This window comes from Homo sapiens, chromosome 10 (assembly GCF_000001405.40).
Source record: "Homo sapiens chromosome 10, GRCh38.p14 Primary Assembly".
Lineage (NCBI taxonomy): Eukaryota > Metazoa > Chordata > Mammalia > Primates > Hominidae > Homo > Homo sapiens.
This window is the reverse complement of record NC_000010.11, coordinates 36,442,135-36,460,754: the sequence shown is the minus strand read 5'-3', so window position 1 is coordinate 36,460,754 and position 18,620 is coordinate 36,442,135. Positions and strand designations below refer to the sequence as shown.

At 39.2% G+C, this 18,620-nt stretch overlaps 2 annotated features.

Annotated features, from left to right (window-relative positions):
- Positions 10,738-11,276: an enhancer, noted in NCBI's record as "OCT4-NANOG hESC enhancer chr10:36738407-36738945 (GRCh37/hg19 assembly coordinates)". NCBI's record gives its function as "activates a minimal SCP1, AML or CMV promoter by ChIP-STARR-seq in naive and primed H9 embryonic stem cells {active_cell/tissue: H9 hESC(naive and primed)}" and the evidence as "EXISTENCE:reporter gene assay evidence [ECO:0000049][PMID:30033119]".
- Positions 11,277-11,815: an enhancer, noted in NCBI's record as "OCT4-NANOG hESC enhancer chr10:36737868-36738406 (GRCh37/hg19 assembly coordinates)". NCBI's record gives its function as "activates a minimal SCP1, AML or CMV promoter by ChIP-STARR-seq in naive and primed H9 embryonic stem cells {active_cell/tissue: H9 hESC(naive and primed)}" and the evidence as "EXISTENCE:reporter gene assay evidence [ECO:0000049][PMID:30033119]".

Genomic DNA, 18,620 nt, shown 5'->3' with positions numbered 1-18,620 from the left:
ACCTGTAATCCCAGCTACTGGGGAGGCTGAGGCAGGGGAATTACCTGATCCTGAGAGATGGAGGTTGCAGTGAGCTGAGATTGTACCACTGCACTACAGCCTGGGCAACAGAGCAAGACTCTGTCTCAAAAAACAAACAAACAAACAAAAAAAACAACAAAAAAAGATATTTGACACTAACGAATGACAGAAAGCTATTAGTTTCAGCTAAAAGTGATTTTGCAATCTGCAATCTAATTCTCACTAGCCCTTTAGACTTTGCATAACTTTGTATTTTAGACCCTGTTTTATAAAGTTTTGAGAAGTTTGGCCATAGGCAAATCAAGAGTGTTCTATGGATATAATAGCCTGGTATTAGACAGCATTGGTTCAATTGCATTGGTTCTTAGCTGGCCTGGCACTTAGAATTCCCCTCACCAAGACAAGTCATTGCAGCCAATTCCAGAGTTTGTGTAAAACATGTGTCAGCTGTTCATGCTTCTGCTAGTTTGATACCATAACCAGAATGGAGATCAAAATTAATGCTCAAACTAAAATTTCACCAAGAGGCTTGTAGCATGAAAACCCTTTCCTGGCCGGGCGCAGTGGCTCACGCCTGTAATCCCAGCACTTTGGGAGGCTGAGGTGGGTGGATCATAAGGTCAGGAGTTCGAGACCAGCCTGGCCAATATGGTAAAACCTTGTCTCTACTAAAAACACAAAAAGTAGCCAGGCATGGTAGTGCATGCCTGTAGTCCCAGCTACTCGGGAAGCTGAGGCAGAAGAATTGCTTGAACCTGGGAAGCGGAGGTTGCAGTGATCCAAGATCATGCCACTGCACTCCAGCCTGGGTGACAGAGCAAGACTCTGTCTCAAAAAAAGAAAAAGAAAAAGAAAACCCTTTCCTCTCACTCTTGGAAAATTAAAAACAGACTTCTTGTGCTTAGGACTAAGCCCCTTCTCTCTTCTGCTTTAGTTCCCTGTTCCTTAAAAATAACTTGATATTAAATAAAAGTCTTCAAGCATTAAAAAAATAAATTATAAAGAATTGTACAATATTAAGGCACAACTAATGACAATAAAGTAGCAGTGGTAGTAGTAGCCACAGTTATAGTAGCAGCATTAGTTAGGTAGTATAGCATTAGGGTAGGGTGGTATATGGGAGGTACAGGTGATGTCATTATTACCAACTCTCCCTTGTGATTTGAAACTTTCTTTGTGTCCACTACAGCCATAGAACTCCCTAACATGGTGGTGACTACTTTTCTGTTTTACTAAGTTTTATAGATTGTATTTACCTTTATAAAAATAGTGGCTGAATTTTGTTCTGCCTACTACTGAGTAATGTTCACACACACACATACACACACACACACACACATATATATATATATTCTTCCTAAGGGTAGTGGAGGCTGGGATGTCGTAGTGAACGCAAGCATCAGAAAGTCTGTTCCTTTAAAAATATCCTTCTTGGCCGGGTGAGGTGGCTCACACCTGTAATCCCAGCACTTTGGGAGGTCAAGGCAGGTGGATCACGAGGTCAGGAGATTGAGACCATCCTGGCTAACACAGTGAAACCCAGTCTCTACTAAAAGTACAAAAACTTAGCCAGGCATGATGACAGGCACCTGTAGTCCCACCTACTCGGGAGGCTAAGCAGGAGAATGGCGTGAACCCAGGAGGTGGAGCTTGCAGTGAGCCAACACTGCGCCACTGCACTCCAGTCTGTGCAACAGTGCAAGACTCCATCTCAAAAATAAAATAAAATAAAATAAAACAAAATTAAATTAAAAATAATAATATATTTCTTGAAAGGCCATTATTTATTTGGATTAACAAACTCTTTTTTTGAAGATTGCAGAATCCCATAGGATTAACTTGCCTTTAATCACTGATATAGCCTGGCTGTCATCTTGAATTGTAATCTGAATTTTAATCCCCATGTATTGGGGGAAGGACCTTGGGGGAGGAGATTGGATCATGGGGGCAATTCCCCCATGCTCTTCTTGTGATAGTGAGTGAATATTCACAAGATCTGATGGTTTTATAAGGGACTTTCCCCCTTCTCTCTGCACTTCTCTCTCCTGCTGGCTTGTGAAGAAGGACATGTTTGCTTCCACTTCTGCCATGATTGTAAGTTTCCTGGGGCCTCCCCAGCCCTGTGGAACTGTGAGCCAATTAAACCTCTTTTCTTTATAAATTACCCAGTCTCAGGTATGTCTTTATAGCAGTGTGAAAATGAACTAATACAATCACACCTCAATATTATATGAGATTGATAAATTCATTGAATTCAAATTTGGATTAGTTGGGAAAAGTAGAAGAAAGAAGAGAGGGGTAGGAGAAGGACAAAATGCAAAGACTAGGAGATAAGCACTAACAAAAGCCTGACAGAACCCTGATCTCTCCCTTTTAATCTTAGGAACCTCTGGAAGCATTTCACAATGGGCTTAAATCCATGCTCCTTTTTGATGTCCCTAACAATCTCAAATACATAGGATTTTGTGAAATTTTCCTCTTAGGTGCAAAGGGAGGGAAGGGGATTAGATTCCTCTGCAATCTAATTCTCACTAGCCCTTTAGACTTTGCATAACTTTGCATTTTAGACTCTGTTTTATAAAAAGAATAGCTTGAAGAGAATTTATAAATGCCTAAACTTGAGGAGACAGTTTTTCTAATTAAAAGAAACTAAAAAAATAGTAAAGAGAAATATAATCTGGCAGGATCAGGTGATAATGGCAGGCAAGAGGAAACATCTGGAAAATGTACGGGGGGTAATCACAGGCCCACTTTTTCTGGGGACTGAGCTTGACTCCTGCTACTGAGATTTACAGCCTTGAAGAAATATGAGTTCAACATCTGCTTATGTATTCCCAAATGGTGCATGCAGCTAAGAACAGTGCTTATGACACTGATTACCTTAGAAACTGCATTGTCCATTCCTGCAAATACTTTTTTTAATTTATTTTTTGTTGTTGTTCAGACAGAGTTTCCCTCTTATTTGCTCAGGCTGGAGTGCAATGGTGCTGCTGAGACCAGCTAGGCCGGGGAGACCCTAACCTAGTGGCGCTAAGGAATTAAAAACACACACACAGAAATATAGAGGTATGGAGTGGGAAATCAGGGGTCTCACAGCCTTCAGAGCTGAGAGCCTTGAACAGAGATTTACCCACATATTTATTGACAGCAAGCTAGTGATAAGCATTGTTTCTATAGATTACACATTAACTAAAAGTATTCCTTATGGGAAACAAAGTGATTGGCCGAAATAAAGGGATGAGCTCTGGCTAGTTATCTGCAGCAGGAGCATGTCCTTAAGGCACAGATCACTCATGCTATTGTTTGTGGTTTAAGAACACCTTTAAGTGGTTTTCCGCCCTGGGTGGGCCAGGTGTTCCTTGCCCTCATTCCAGTAAACCCACAACCTTCCAGCATGGGCGTCATGGCCATCATGAACATGTCACAGTGCTGCAGAGATTTTGTTTATGCCCAGTTTTGGGGCCAGTTTACGGCCAGATTTTGGGGGCCTATTCCCAACATGGTGCAATCTCAGCTCACCACAACCTCCACCTCCCAGGTTCAAGCGATTCTCCTGCCTCAGCTTCCTGAATAGCTGGGATTACAGGCATGCGCCACCATACCCACCTAATTTTGTTTTTGTATTTTTAGTAGAGATGGGATTTCTCCATGTTTGTCAGGCTGGTCTCGAACTCCCGACCTCAGGTGATCTGCCTGCCTCGGCCTCCCAAAGTGCTGGGATTACAGGCATGAACCACCGCGCCTAGCCCATTCCTGCAAATACTTATATATTCTCCATGCCCAAATGGAACTGCTATTGTAGTAAGTCCTACATGGCAACCTCCAAGTCCATTTGAAAATTTCCATTATTTTTAGGCCCCAAGGGCCAATCTGATTACACATAGAAGCCCCATCTATTGAAAGATGAAATAAAATGAATAGCATTGTCGAAAAATTTCCTTGTGTTAATGCTTTAGTGGTTATTTAAAAAAGATTTCAGATAGAGGGATAACAACTGAATTTATTCTTTAGGCATTTAGTACAATACGTTGATAAATATTGTATGGCAATGTAAATTCATATGTTATATGAAATGATACATTTTAGGATTTTTATGATTTCCATGTTATACCCACATTTTTAAAAGTATGCTAAGAAAAATATTCACTAGCCAACTGGGACATTTCCCTGTTCACTTATTTTCTGTAATTTAGCACACATAATTCTTTTTAAAAGGTTATCATTAGCCCTTCTTTTCTTTTTTTTTCTTTTTCTTTTTTTTTTAAGACAGAGTCTCGCTCTGTTGCCCAGGATGGAGTGTAGTGACATGATCTCTGCTCACTGCAACCTCTGCCTCCTCCCAGGTTCACGCGATGCTCCTGCCTCAGCCTCCCAAGTAGCTGGGTTTACAGGCACGCGCCACTGTGCCCAGATAATTTTCATGTATTTAGTAGAGACAGGGTTTCACCATGTTGGCCAGGGTGTCTCAAACTCCAGACTTCAAGTGATCCAGCCGCCTCGGACTCTGAAAGTCCTGGCATTAGAGGTGTGAGCCACCGCACTTGGCCAGTTCTCATTTTCTTAATGTAAAATAATCTATGATTTAAGACTATTGGCACTGTTCAACTTACTCATCTATCTGCTTTTTTATAAAGCATTCAGTGGCTAAATGTGATTGGTTTAAGTGTAAACAAACAAACAAAAAAATCACTTAGGACAGAGAGATAAAGCCATTAAAGTGTAACTGCCTATTTTTCCTTCTGGCTGTTAAAGTGTGATCAGTAATTGACTCACAGGTAAATCGTTTTGAGAGGTTTCAGTTTGCTTATCTGGCCTTGCCTGATATCAGAGGTGCTCACTGGTTGTTTTTAGATCTGGCAAGAGTTAGCTAGTCAAACCTCTGTACTGAATACTGATGCTGGAAATCTTAATTCTGTATTCCTATGACTTGGAAAGGAACCAACTGCTCTAGGATTTGTTATTGTAGAAAAAAATTCCGTTTAAAATGACTGAATACTCACTTTTATTATTGACTAAGTCTTGGAAGGTAGTGATTCATTAGGATTTTTTTTTTCCTTCAAACATTTAGTTTTAGTTTGAATTTGGCCCCAATTCTGAATGACAAATGTGTAGCTTTGAGCTGAGTTACTTAACTTCAAGTAACAATCATCTTTAAGCTATTTTATTTTTGTTTTACGTAACCTATTGAAATCCTACATCTTCACTTAATGGGATAGTATAATTTAATTAATTTAACTAATTTAATCCATGTTAACAAATTAATTCCATCATCTCAGTGACTTAATAAACAAGATATCTTATCCATTCACCCCCAACTGTGTTGCAGGTCCAAGGATTCTCCAGGGAAGCTCTCTTCTGAGTAGTAACTCAAGAATTGAGTCTGTTTCCATCTTCAGTCTTCACATTATCAACATAATCACTCTGGCAGAAGATGAAAGAGGGAAAGAAAACTCATGCCTCAACTTTGAAAGAGCATTCCTCCTTCTGTCTAATTGGCCAGAATTAATCACATGGTCCCAAAATAACTGGAAGGGAGGATGGGAAAGAAAGCCTTTCTATCTGACTAGGACAACGAAATGAGATTCAGACAATCAACAAAAATCCTCAACAACATTGTAGTTTGTCAAACCTAGTAACATGAAAAAGGATAATACATTATTCCAAGCAGGGCTTATCCAGGGAATAAAAGACTAGTTCAACATTTAAAAATTAATGTAATTCGTCTTATCAACCTAATGAAGAAGGAAAAACATGTGAGCATCCACATAGATATAGAAAAAATACTTGACAGAGTTCAGCATGTATCCATGATAAAAACTCTTTAACAATCTGGAAATAGAAGAATACTTCCTTAAGAAAAAATGAGTCTACAAAAAAAGTTATAGCTAACATCATACTGCATGGTGGAAGACTGAATTCTTTCTCCCTAAGATTAAGAAGATAAAGCTGTCCACTCTTACTACTCCCATTAACATCATGTTGAAGGTCTTAGCCAGTGCAATAAAAAAACTTATAAAATAAGCTGGGCATGGTGGCTCACATTTGTAATCCCAGCACTTTGGGAGGCTGAGGCAGGCGGATCACGAGGTCAGGAGATCGAGACCATCCTGGCTAACATGGTGAAACCCTGTCTCTACTAAAAACACAAAAAATTAGCTGGGCATGGTGGTGGGCGCCTGTAGTCCCAGCTACTCAGGAGTCTGAGGCAGGAGAATGGTGTGAACCCTGGAGGCGGAGCTTGCAGTGAGCAGAGATTGCACCACTGCACTCCAGCCCGGGTCACAGAGCAAGACTCTGTCTCAAAACAAACAAACAAACAAAAATAATAAAATGAATATAGAATAAATAAGTAAAATTAAAACAATTTTCATATGACATAATTATGTAGAACATTCTAAAAAATCTATAAACAAGCTATGAGAACTATTGTGCAAACTTACCAGGTCACATGAAATAGGGTCAATATGCAAATCTAAATCACATTTATATCTGCTAGCAATGAACAATTGAAAATGAAAATTTTAAAATTACACACAAAAAAATTAGGTATAAATCTAACAAAATATGTTCAAAGTATATGCACTGAAAACTATAAAACACTAATGAAAGAAATCAATAAAGATGAAAAAAATTAAAAAGAGAGATATATCATGCTTATTAGTTGGAAGAATTCAAACTCAAATTTGCTGAGATATTAATTGTCTCTAAATTGATTTATAGATTCAACACAATTCCAATTAAAATCCCAGCAGGATTTGTTGTAGAAATCAACAGGCTGTGTGTAAAATTTATGTAGAAAGGCAAATAGTCAAAAAAAATTGTAACAAAGTTGGAGGATTTGTTATACCTAATCTCAAGACTTATTACAGAACTACACCAATCTAAAAGGCATGGTATTAGCCTAAGAGTGGACATATAAATAAATGGAATATAATAGAGCCAGGATCAGCAAACCATAGCTCCTGGGGCCAAATTCAGCCTAGCAACACAGGTGCACTTATTCAATTGTATATTTTCTATAGCTGCTTTTGTGGTAAAGAGAATTAAGTAGTTACAAACAAACATTATGTGGTCCACAAAGCCTAAAATATTTATTTTCTGGACCTTTTACAAAAGGAAAAAAAAAAATAGCTTGCTGCCCCTGGAATAGAATGTACAGAAAAACACTCACACATCTATGGTCAATTGATTTTTGACAAAGGTAAAAGACTATTAAATGGAGAAAGTATAATCTTTTTAACAAACAGTGCTAGAACAATTGAAAATTCATATGCAAAACAAGCAAATAATTTGATGCATTGCATTTTTAAAATTAATAAAATTCAAAGTGAATTATAAATTTAAATGGAAAATCTAAAATTATAAAATTATTCAAAAGGATAAACTAAAAAAAAAAATGACAGTACCAAATACCAGTTAGGATTTGGAGACAATGGAGACATATATTTCTGGTAAAAATGCAAAATGGTACAGCAAGTTCACAAAAGAATTGGGAAGTTCTCAGAAAGCTAAACATATAATTATCACATGACCCAGCAACCTTTCTCCTAGGTATCATTCCAACTAAAATAAAAACTTATGTTAACACAAATACTTGTATGCGAATCTTTAAATTGGCTTGATTCAGAATCAACAAAAACTGGAAACGACTCAGTCACGCATCAGCCGGTGACTGCAGAAGCTGTGATATATCCACACAATGGAATTCAGCAACAAAAGGAATAAACTACTGATACAAGCCACAACATGGATGAATTCTGAAGTGATTACTGTAAGTGAAGTATGTCAGATTCAAAAGACCACATATTATATAATTCAGTTTTGAAATATGCAAAACCATAAGTATAGAGAAAAGATCAGTGGTTGCCAGGGAAGTGTTGACTTTAAAGCAACCTGGGGTTTTTTTTTTGTTGATAAACTATTGTTTATCTTCATTTTTTGATGATCACATGAGTGTATGCGTTTGTCCAAACTCACACAACTATGTCCTAAAGAGGAAGAATATTTGTCTGCAGATTTTAACTTAATGAAAAAATAAATATTTATTATCAAGTAATATAGGGCATAAATTATTTAGAGCAGCAGTCCCCAAACTTTTTGGCACCAGGGACTGGTTTTGTGGAAGATAATTTTTCCATCCATGGGCGGGGGATGGTTTTGGGATGATTTGAGCATATTACATTTATTTTGCACTTTATTTCTATTATTATTACATTGTAATAAATAATTAAATAATTTCACAACTCACCATAATGTAGAATAGGTAGGAGCCCTGAGCTTGTTTTCCTGCAACTAGATGGTCCCATCTGGAGGTGATGGGAGACAGTGACAGATCATTAGGCATTAGATTCTCATAAGGAGCATGCAGCCTAGATCCCTCACATGTGCAGTTCACAATAGGGCTCATGTTCCTATGAGAATCTAATGCTGCCACTGGTCTGACAGGAGGCAGAGCTCAGGCAGTAATTCGACCAATGGGGACCAACTGTAAAATACAGATGAAGCTTTGATCCCTTGGCTGCCACTCACCTCCTGCTATGCAGCCTGCTTCTTAACAGGCCCTTCCTTGTCCAGGGTTGGGGACCCCTGACTTAGAGTATTACTGAATAATGGCTTGATCTTGGAGAAAGAAAACTTGGGTGAGATACCAGTTCTACTAGTTCTGAGTAATATGAACTTGGGCAATTTGCTTACCTTACTGTGCCTTAATTTTGTTGCTTATCAATAGGAATAGTAATTATACCTATACTTTAGGGTAGGAGAAACAAATCAGGTAATGCCTGAAAACTACTTAAGGCAGCATCTAGCAAGTAGTACATATGGTACTAATGTGTAGGAATAGCAGGATGCTAGCATATGTTCCACACAGATTCTTACCCACTGTCTTATTTCAACTGATTCATGTTTCGCTTAAATACCTACCATTTGTCAAGTACCAGAGGGAGTCAAGTGCACAGCTCTTGCAGAGTTTATGATCTCACTGAAAAGATGAGTTACTCATATGAAAATATTTAATTAACCAAGACCTCATCTGGTCTGCAACATACACTGCCATGATATTACACAGAGGCACTGCATGCAGTCTTGGGTACAGAAATGCAGGGGATTAAGGTCTGTCGAGGCATTTGCCCTCAAGGTTATTACAACCTAGATGTAGAGATAAATATGAACACAGATCTCAAATCACTAACATATTTTAAAATGAAAGTGCAGGCCGGGCGCGGTGGCTCATGCCTGTAATCTCAGCCGAGACGGGTGGATCACAAGGTCAGGAGATCAAGACCATCCTGGCTACCATGGTGAAACCCTGTCTCTACTAAAAAAAATACAAAAAATTAGCCGGGCGTAATGGCAGGCGCCTGTAGTCCCAGCTACTAGGGAGGCTGAGGCAGGAGAATGGAGTGAACCTGGGAGGCAAAGCATTCAGCGAGCCAAGATCACGCCACTGCACTCCAGCCTGGGCGACAGAGAGAGACTCCATCTCAAAAAAAAAAAAAAAAAAAAGAAAGAAAGAAAGAAAGAAAGTGCAATAGGAGAAGTAAAATTTATCCCATTTCAGCAGGTGTAGCTAAAAGGAAAAAAATAAGTACAATGTACCCCCAAATTATTTATTTAGGAGGGTTTAGAGGGATAGACAGAGATAAGAAAAAAAGGCATTTTTTAAAAAGAGAGTACATATGTTTAAGTGTCAAAAGGAAATTGTGGTCAAAGACAACTTGAAATGTTGGAGAAATTCTTCTAGACTGGTTAGTTGAATCTTGAATTAAGAGAAATGGAAATTTTATGGATAGTTTAGAAAAAAATGAGGACAAAATTATAAACAATTTACAGTAGAAGAGAGTTTATTAATCCAAAATAACACTAGGAAATATAGTATTGCTATGTCTATGGTATCATGTGGGTGGAAGCTATTTTACCCACATTCTTTTTTTTTTTTATTTTATTTCATTGTTTAGAAAACAGAAGGGCTCGAAAGAAATTTAAGACATTCTGTCCTCCCTCCTTCCTCTCGGAGTCTGGAAGCATCTGTTTTAAAACAGTGTCAGAGTCCCTGTGTTGATTAGCACCGCCTCTTGTTCAGTGGATTCTCACATACTTTCCTGCAAGCAATTCATTATTTCTTCCCACTCACTTACGCAGCTTCCTCTAGCTCACCAAGCAGAGGCCAGACGTGAGTGGCTTTCTCACTGTCTGATATTGGGCTCACCTCCCACACTGTCTCAGAGCAGTCTCGTCCAGTGGGCAGAACACCGATTGGAATCCAAATCATTCCAAACAATGTCCTTAGCCCACAGTTCGAAGAATTCTAATACCAAACACACTGGACTGTGTGTGTTGGGGTGTGGGAACACAGCGCTGTGGCAGATTCTATGTGGATATTTGACGAAACAACATGCATGGACATCTATGTAAGAACAACTGTCAAATGTCTATTGAGAGGAAAAACAGTATTTGGCTTATACAGCAGCTAAAGAAATGTGTCTGCGATTACAAAAACGTTTGTTCTTTCAGAGGAACAGTTTGTCTTTATTGTTCTTATCATGGCTTTAGTTTTTGGTTTCACTCTCCATCCCCACTTAGCACCAGCAAAGAAGGTATAGAAACGTGGGTAAATGATTTCACCTTGCTTGGCCTCTTGAATATAACTGAAGAATGGGTTGGACTGTGGTTGTGTTTCTTTCCAGCTACAGATTGTCCAAGTCCAAAGACTTGAGGGCTGGGAGTTCACCCAGAGAGCAGGTGAAAGAGCCCCAGCTCATGGTAGCTGCTCAGCACACGTTCAGTTCTTTTTCCCAAGGTGGCCCCTTAAATTCCTGTCCAGCCTTATAAATGCATGATCCTGCAAAGGAATAATTAGAGGGAGAAGGTAAACATTGACAAGAAACATAAATAACCCCAAAAAACAAAGAATTATAATATGAAAGGGTCACTACACCACCCCCTCAACACCAACTTGGTTTAGAAAGACAAGCAATGAAAAAATACAGAAGTTCATTGTACTAAAGATAGGAAGAAAAAAAAAACGAGGATAAAACCATGAACTAGAAAATCAGCCTCTGGAGTCCCGATGACGGGAATGAACAGGCCTATTTGCATCTCCTTTCACACCCCTATTATCCGAACCCAGGGAGTGTCATTGTGCCCTTGACCAAAACGATCCCCCATGCTGGGAAGCCTAAAGCCAGGTATTCATGATTGCAAAAGTACCAGATGTTGCAATCTTGGCTTATTGTTTATGCACATAATTAGATATACGTATTTCTATTTTGAGCTCTGCTGATGCGTTTTCAGCTAAATGGCCTAACAAGCACGTTATACATATAGAGAATTAAAAAGTCAGATTTTCCACAGATTCCAGCAATACTATGCATTAACTTCCTCTGAGGTGCAGTTTATGCACATGAAAACACCAGAGCCCTAACTGCTGCTGGGTTTACCTAAACTAAGTTAAGACCTCAGAACAAAGTTATTTACTTAGCACGGAGCCAAATGACCAGTCTGAAGTTTTTAGGGAGATAACCTTTAACCTAACTCCTGGGGGAAAAACAAAGCAATGAAATAAGATTTGTGTCTTTTGTGAAAACAAAAGTAACTCTTGCTCTAAAATATCCACCCCCTTCTTTTAAGGAACAATCAAAACCCCCAAAACGCAAAACCTCAAGTTATCTCTGAAAACACAATTAAAAGCATGAATTTCCAATTCAACTGCAAAAGAAAAAAAATTATTGGTTCTGCCATGCTCTTAATGTATCCTAAATACTGATTGCTATCAACTGACAGAGTTACAGAGAATGTGGTCAGAAGACAAAGCACACAAAGAAAATTGCCTGCGAAATAGGGGTTTTAAATTCTCAAAGGCTCATATTTTCCCCAAATGATTGAAGGGGGAGATTGTGGGAAGATGAATGGTATTGAAAAGAAAGTACACCTCAATATAAGAAAATATTTTTAAAAATCGAGTTGGTAGCTCATCCCCAAACCTCCAGACTGTCACTGTGTGTGTGTTTGTGCCATGTGTACTTTTATGGCTTTTTTTTTGAGACGTAGTTTCACTCTGTCGCCCAGGCTAGAGTGCAGTGGTGCGATCTCCACTCACTGCAAGCTCTGCCTCCTGGGTTCACGCCATTCTCCTGCCTCAGCCTCCCGAGTAGCTGGGACTACAGGTGCTCGCCACCATGCCCGGCTAATGTTTTGTATTTTTAGTAGAGATGGGGTCTCACCGTGTTAGCCAGGATGGTCTCGATTTCCTGACCTCGTGATCCACCCGCCTCGGCCTCCCAAAGTGTTGGGATTACAGGCGTGAGCCATTGCCCCCGGCCAACTTTTATGGCTTTTTAGGCTCAAAGAAACAATGACTTTGCACTAAGAAAAAAATATATATTTATGTATGTATGTAACTATATATACTATACATATGATACTATTTGGAATAAATATATCTAACATATTGGTGGAGAAAAAAACATGGTTTTATTTCTATAAGGAGGAGAGAAATCTGAAAAAGAGAACATTTATTTGTATGAATGCAATAAATTCTAGAGCAAACTTAAACAGTAAAATAGTATAACATTGAATCATTTAAAAAATTTACTAGAAGAGTGCCAATGAAGGAATGCACTATTAATGAATTTATTTGGATGTGAGCTATGTTAATTGATTACCAAATACTACTGCTTTTTTGAAAAAAAATCGAATTTTTTTTTGCTCTGTGACCCAGGCTGGAGTGCAATGGTGCGATCTCTGCTCACTGCAACCTCTGCCCCCTGGGTTCAAGCAATTCTCCTGTCTCAGCCTCCCAAGTAGCTGGGATTACAGGTGCACACCACCACACTTGGCTAATTTTTGTATTCTTAGTAGAGCTCGTGTTTAGCCATGTTGGTCAGGCTGGTCTCGAACTCCTGACCTCAGGTGATCCGCCCCCCTGGGCCTCCCAAAGTGGTGGGATTACAGGTGTGAGCCACCACACCTGGCCAGAAATTTTTATAGTCAGCATAAAAGTGTGTGTGTGTGTGTGTATATATATATATATAGTGTGTATACACACACACACACACACACATTCTATATATTTTTTTCTCTATTTTCTTAGAAAAGAAATCTTGGACAGGCACGGTGGCTTACGCCTGTAATCCCACCACTTTGGGAGGCCGAGGTGAGTGGATCACAATGTCAGGAGTTCAAACGCTGTCTCTACTAAAAATACAAAAATTAGCTGGGCATGGTGGCGCGTGCCTGTAATCCCAGCTACTCGGGAGGCTGAGGCAGGAGAACTGCTTGAACCGGGACCCGGAGCTGGAAGTTGCAGTGAGTCGAGGTCACGCCATTACACTCCAGGCAGGGCTACAGAGGGAGACTCCGTCTCAAAAAAAAAAAAAAAAAAAAAAAAGAAAGAAAAAGAAAAAAAGAAAAGAAAAGAAATCCAAGGAGAACAGGAGGAAAAACAAACCTAATATTTTAAAGTCAAGCTCTTCTCAGAGTCTCTCATGGAAAGAAACCATCACTCCGTCAGCCAAGAGCGAGGCCAGAGAAGGGAGGAGCTGCTGGGGAGAGAGGACTGGCCAGAACCCGAGTCTCCTGCACCATCATTAGGATGAGGAATTCTGGGCTGTCATAGTGAATATGGGAGCTGCATGAAGAAGAAGAGCAGGGCATTGGTTTTGTTTTGCTTTAACGTGCCATGCGGCCTCCTGGAACCATCCCCTCTAACATGGAGGGGAAGCAGGAACAGGCTGTGGATGTGGGCACACAGCCAGGAAAGAGGCAGCGTCACCTCTGCTCGCCTGGGCAGGATCCTTGCCAGGTGATACCTTTCAGCGCCTGAGGATGTGAACACAAATGACAAACTCCTTTCCACGCGCCGTGGTTCTAATCCAAAATTGCTACCCTTCTTCAGTTGTTAGGGGAGTAAACATGTGCTGCTTTGCACACATTGGTTTTACTCCTTTGACTTCTTCCTTTCTCCTTTTAAAAAAGTGGTACCCAGTATTTTCTCACCAGTATTCTATTGCCCTGTTGCAGCCAAATTTTATGGTGGCAGAAAGAATTAGCAAACCAGGCCAAGAAACACACTGAATTTGATTTGATATGAAATTGTACATTGCATTTCCAACTATTTCCATCATTATAGTAATTGATTTATTTCTGCTTTTATGCTGACTATAAAAAGTTTCTATTTTTTCAGAAAAGCAGTAGTATTTGATAATAAATGAACATAGCTCAGATCCCAATAAACAAAATCATTAATAGTGCATTCCTGCATTTGCCAAGTTTTAATAACTTTTTTAGAAGATCGAATGTTTTATTATTTTACCCTTTAAATTTGCTGTAGTATTTAATGCATTCACACAAATAGATTGACTCTATTTTAGATTTCTCTCATCCCTATAGAAATAAAACCACGTTTTATCTCCACCAATACATTACATTATATTTAGTACACATAGTATAACAATGTATAATATATAAAATTATGTAACATGAATTACATAAACATCACAAACAAAAAATTTCTGTTAAATATTTTTACTTAGGTGACTATTTCAAGATATGCAATTGCCAGATATCCTTTGTTTTATCTTCACTCTGTTATTAAAATGAAATCTATGGATTTGTCACTCTCTCTATATGTATATAAACCCCCTTGGTTGCAAAATAAATCTTTTTACAAACTGTGCTCACCACATGACAAAACACTTATCTGGATTTTAGATGGTAACTGTGATCTCAATCAAAATTATGCAATGATAATTGCAAATACTGTTATCAAAAAGTACCATAGTTTATGAAGTTAATGTTTATTTTTCTGTAGCTACCTACTATTCTCTTTCTGATATTGCCTAATTCCATCACAGTTTGTCTATGTTCTATGTGTCAAAGACTTAAACAGAAATGAAACTTCAGGTGCATAGAGTAATAATTCTACCTCTCTGAGAAAAAAGAGGTGAAATTAGGTTATCTATGAAACTCCTGTGGGGCCAGAAATGTGAATACAAAGGCACAGCCCCGTAGCGAGTGACACCCGGCATCCCACAGTCCACCTCAAAAACAGCTAAAGGAGTCATTGCTCCATGACCTATTTTGCCCACAAGACAGTTGGATGCCATGTGACAGTCTATTTTAGGGATAAAATTATTGTTAAATCAGAGTATCCTTCATGACCCCTTAAATCTGGGAATTGGAGTTGCTCGATTTTTCGGCAGTCATTAGAAAGAAACTTGCTGGCTGTGTCTACATATGTAATGATACAAATGCAAAAGAGAAGTTCCCACTTCATTTTTATGGCAGAGAGTCTGAGAAATTCTGTTCACTCTATGTGTTTGGACCAGTAGGCTATGTGAAAGGAAAATATCTTATCCCCAAAATCACAGAGGAAAACTCAAGCCTGGAACTGCTTAGGGGAAACCTGCCTCCCATTCTATTCAAAATCACTCTTCTGCTCACTGAGACAGATGCATATCTGATTGCCTCCTTTGGAAAGGCTAATCAGAAACTCAAAAGAATGTAACCATTTGTGTCTCATCTATCTGTGACTTGGAAGCTGCCTCCCAGCTTCATTTGGAGTTTTCCTGCCTTTGCTTCAAGTTGTCCCGCCTTTCCAGACCGAACAAATGTACTTCTTACATATATTGATTGATGTTTCATGTCTCCCTAAATGTATAAAACCCAGCTGTGCCCTGACCACCTTGGGCACATGTCTTCAGGACTTCCTGAGGCTGTGTCACGGGTGCATCCTCAACCTTGGCAAAATACACTTTCTAAATTAACTGAGACCTGTCAAATTTTGGGGGTTCATAGCTACTACTCATTAATTTGGCCAAAGCTTATTACTCAGGACCATTTTGATAAGAATGATTTAACTGAAATCTAAATTAAATGAATTCGATTTTGTATTTTTTATTTATTTATTTATTTTTCTGAGATGAAGTTTCGCTCTTGTTGCCCAGGCTGGAGTGCACTGGAGCACAATGGTGTGATCTTGGCTCACTGCAACCTCTGCCTCCTGGGTTCAAGCAATGCTCCTGCCTCAGCCTCCTGAGTAGTTGGGATTACAGGCACCCGCCACCACGCCCGGCTAATTTTTGTATATTTAGTAGAGACGGGGTTTCACCATGTTGACCAGGCTGGTCTTGAACTTCTGACCTCAGGTGATCCACCCGCCGCGGCCTCCCAAAGTTCTGGGATTACAGGCTTGAGCCACCGTGCCCAGCCCAACATTATTTTCTTTCTTTCTTTTCTTCTTTTCTTTTCTTTTCTTTTTTTTTTTTTTTGAGACAGAGTCTTGCTCTGTCACCCAGGCTGGAGTGCAGTGGGGTGATCTCGGCTCACTGCAAGCTCCGCCTCCCGGGTTCACACCATTCTCCTGCCTCAGCCTCTTGAGTAGCTGGGACTACAGGAGCCCACCACCACGCCTGGCTAATTTTTTGGTTTTTTTGTATTTTTAGTAGAGACGGGGTTTCACCACGTTAGCCAGGTTGGTCTCGATCTCCTGACCTTGTGATCCGCCCGCCTAGGCCTCCCAAAGTGCTGGGATTACAGGTGTGAGCCACCGCGCCCGGCCATTTTCAGGTATCTTTATAGCAATACCCCACTTCTAAGTACCAATTTTCTTAGACCATTCTTGCACTGCTATAAAGAAACACCTGAGACTGGGTAATTTAAAAGAAAGGTGGTTTCCTTGGCACACAGTTCTGCAGGCTGTACAAGAAGCATGACAGCACCTGCTTGTGGGGAATCATCAGGAAGATTCCAATCACGGCAGAAGGCAAAGGAGGAGCAAGCATCTTACATGGTGAGAGCAGGAGTAAGAGTGAGAGGGGAGGTGCCATACACTTTCAGCGCCAGATGTCTCAAGAACTCACTATTGCAAAGACAGCACCAAGGCCATGGCGCTAAACCATTCGTGAGAAATGCACCCTTATGATCCAGTCACTTCCCATCAGGCCACACTGCCAGTATTGAGGATTACGATTTAATGTGAGATTTGGTGGGGACACAGATCTAAACCATACCACCATTTCTTCAATTAAAAAAATAATAACTGAGAAGGCTTTATTATTGGAATTTATGATAGGTACTATAATACTAAAACATGAAATTCCAGGTCAATAGTGGATACTTAATAAATATCTGTTGAATGAATGAATGAAAAAAAAATCTGTTTGATTCTACTTTATCTCCTTCTTATTTTTCATATTTTACCCCCATTTTAGTTTATACATTATCTTTTGTGGAATGAGAAGAAATGAAGAGCCTGTGTTCACAAGATGTACAAAACTATTGAAATCTAAATACTCATGGAATTACTCATGTGGGTGTGTGTTTGCATTTTTTTATAATTTAAGTTCTGTTTCATTTGATTTTGTTTTCAACAAAAATCCAAACTGTCTTTATATTGGTAAGACTGGTAATTTTGCTAGACCTTTTCCTAATATTTTCAAAGCTGTACTAACATGAAAACTATACATGTGCATGGATGCCTGTATTCTTTGTAAATCTTGGTATTTATTTATATTATTCAATTAAAATGTTAGCTTAATTCCTTTTCATGTGGTATATTTTTGTGTACTTGGTTCTCAGTGAGACATTTAGTTATAAAATTGTAGACTCCGTAGTAACTTTCTGAAATATTTATTAAAAAATTTTTTAAAAAAATCATTCATCTAAGTGATTATCGACATATAATTTTTATCTATCACTCATTAACCTTACAATTTTTAGCTTCAATAAAACTGACCCAAGATTGAGGACTATGGCAAAACCAGGTGAACCCATCAGATATATCTATCAGATATGCGGTGACCTATTATAAAGGAATGCTTGTCATTTCATGCCTAGCATATCAATATTTTTTTTTTTTGTAGACGGAGTCTCGCTGTCCCCCAGGTTGGAGTGCAGTGGTGCGATCTCGGCTTACTGCAGGCTCCGCCCCCTGGGGTTCATGCCATTCTCCAGCCTCAGCCTCCTGAGTAGCTGGGACTACAGGCGCCCGCCACCTTGCCCGGCTAATTTTTTGTATTTTTAGTAGAGACGGGATTTCACCGTGTTAGCCAGGATGGTCTTGATCTCCTGACCTCGTGATCCACCCGCCTCGGCCTCCCAAAGTGCTGGGATTACAGGCGTGAGCCACCGCGCCCAGCCTTGCCTAGCGTATCAATTTACTGCAATGTTATTTTCATGGAAAATGCTGTTTAACAGGTCTAAAAGAAAAGTTTTCTATATTTTCTGAGTTAATTTGCTGACCTCTGTCACCAAATTATCTAAAATAATGTATTTTTAATTGCCAAAAGCATGAATGTCTGCATGTGTATTTGTATGTGTAGAGAAATAAAGAAAACTGCATTGTTTTATTTAGTGCATTTATGTGAAATACGTGTCTGAAAGAATGGACGAGACACCACCATCAGTACCACGCCACGTCTATAAAAACAGAAGCACTAATCAAAAGCTGTTTTATTAGAACCTGCCTTTGGTTTTTCTTGGAAGAGTAGATTTCATCAGATTTTAGAGCAGTAATGTACTCAGTCTTTCATAGCACAATATTGAGGGTCTGATTATTCCCCCAACTCATGGATAAATATTCTATTATTATAAAAATATTT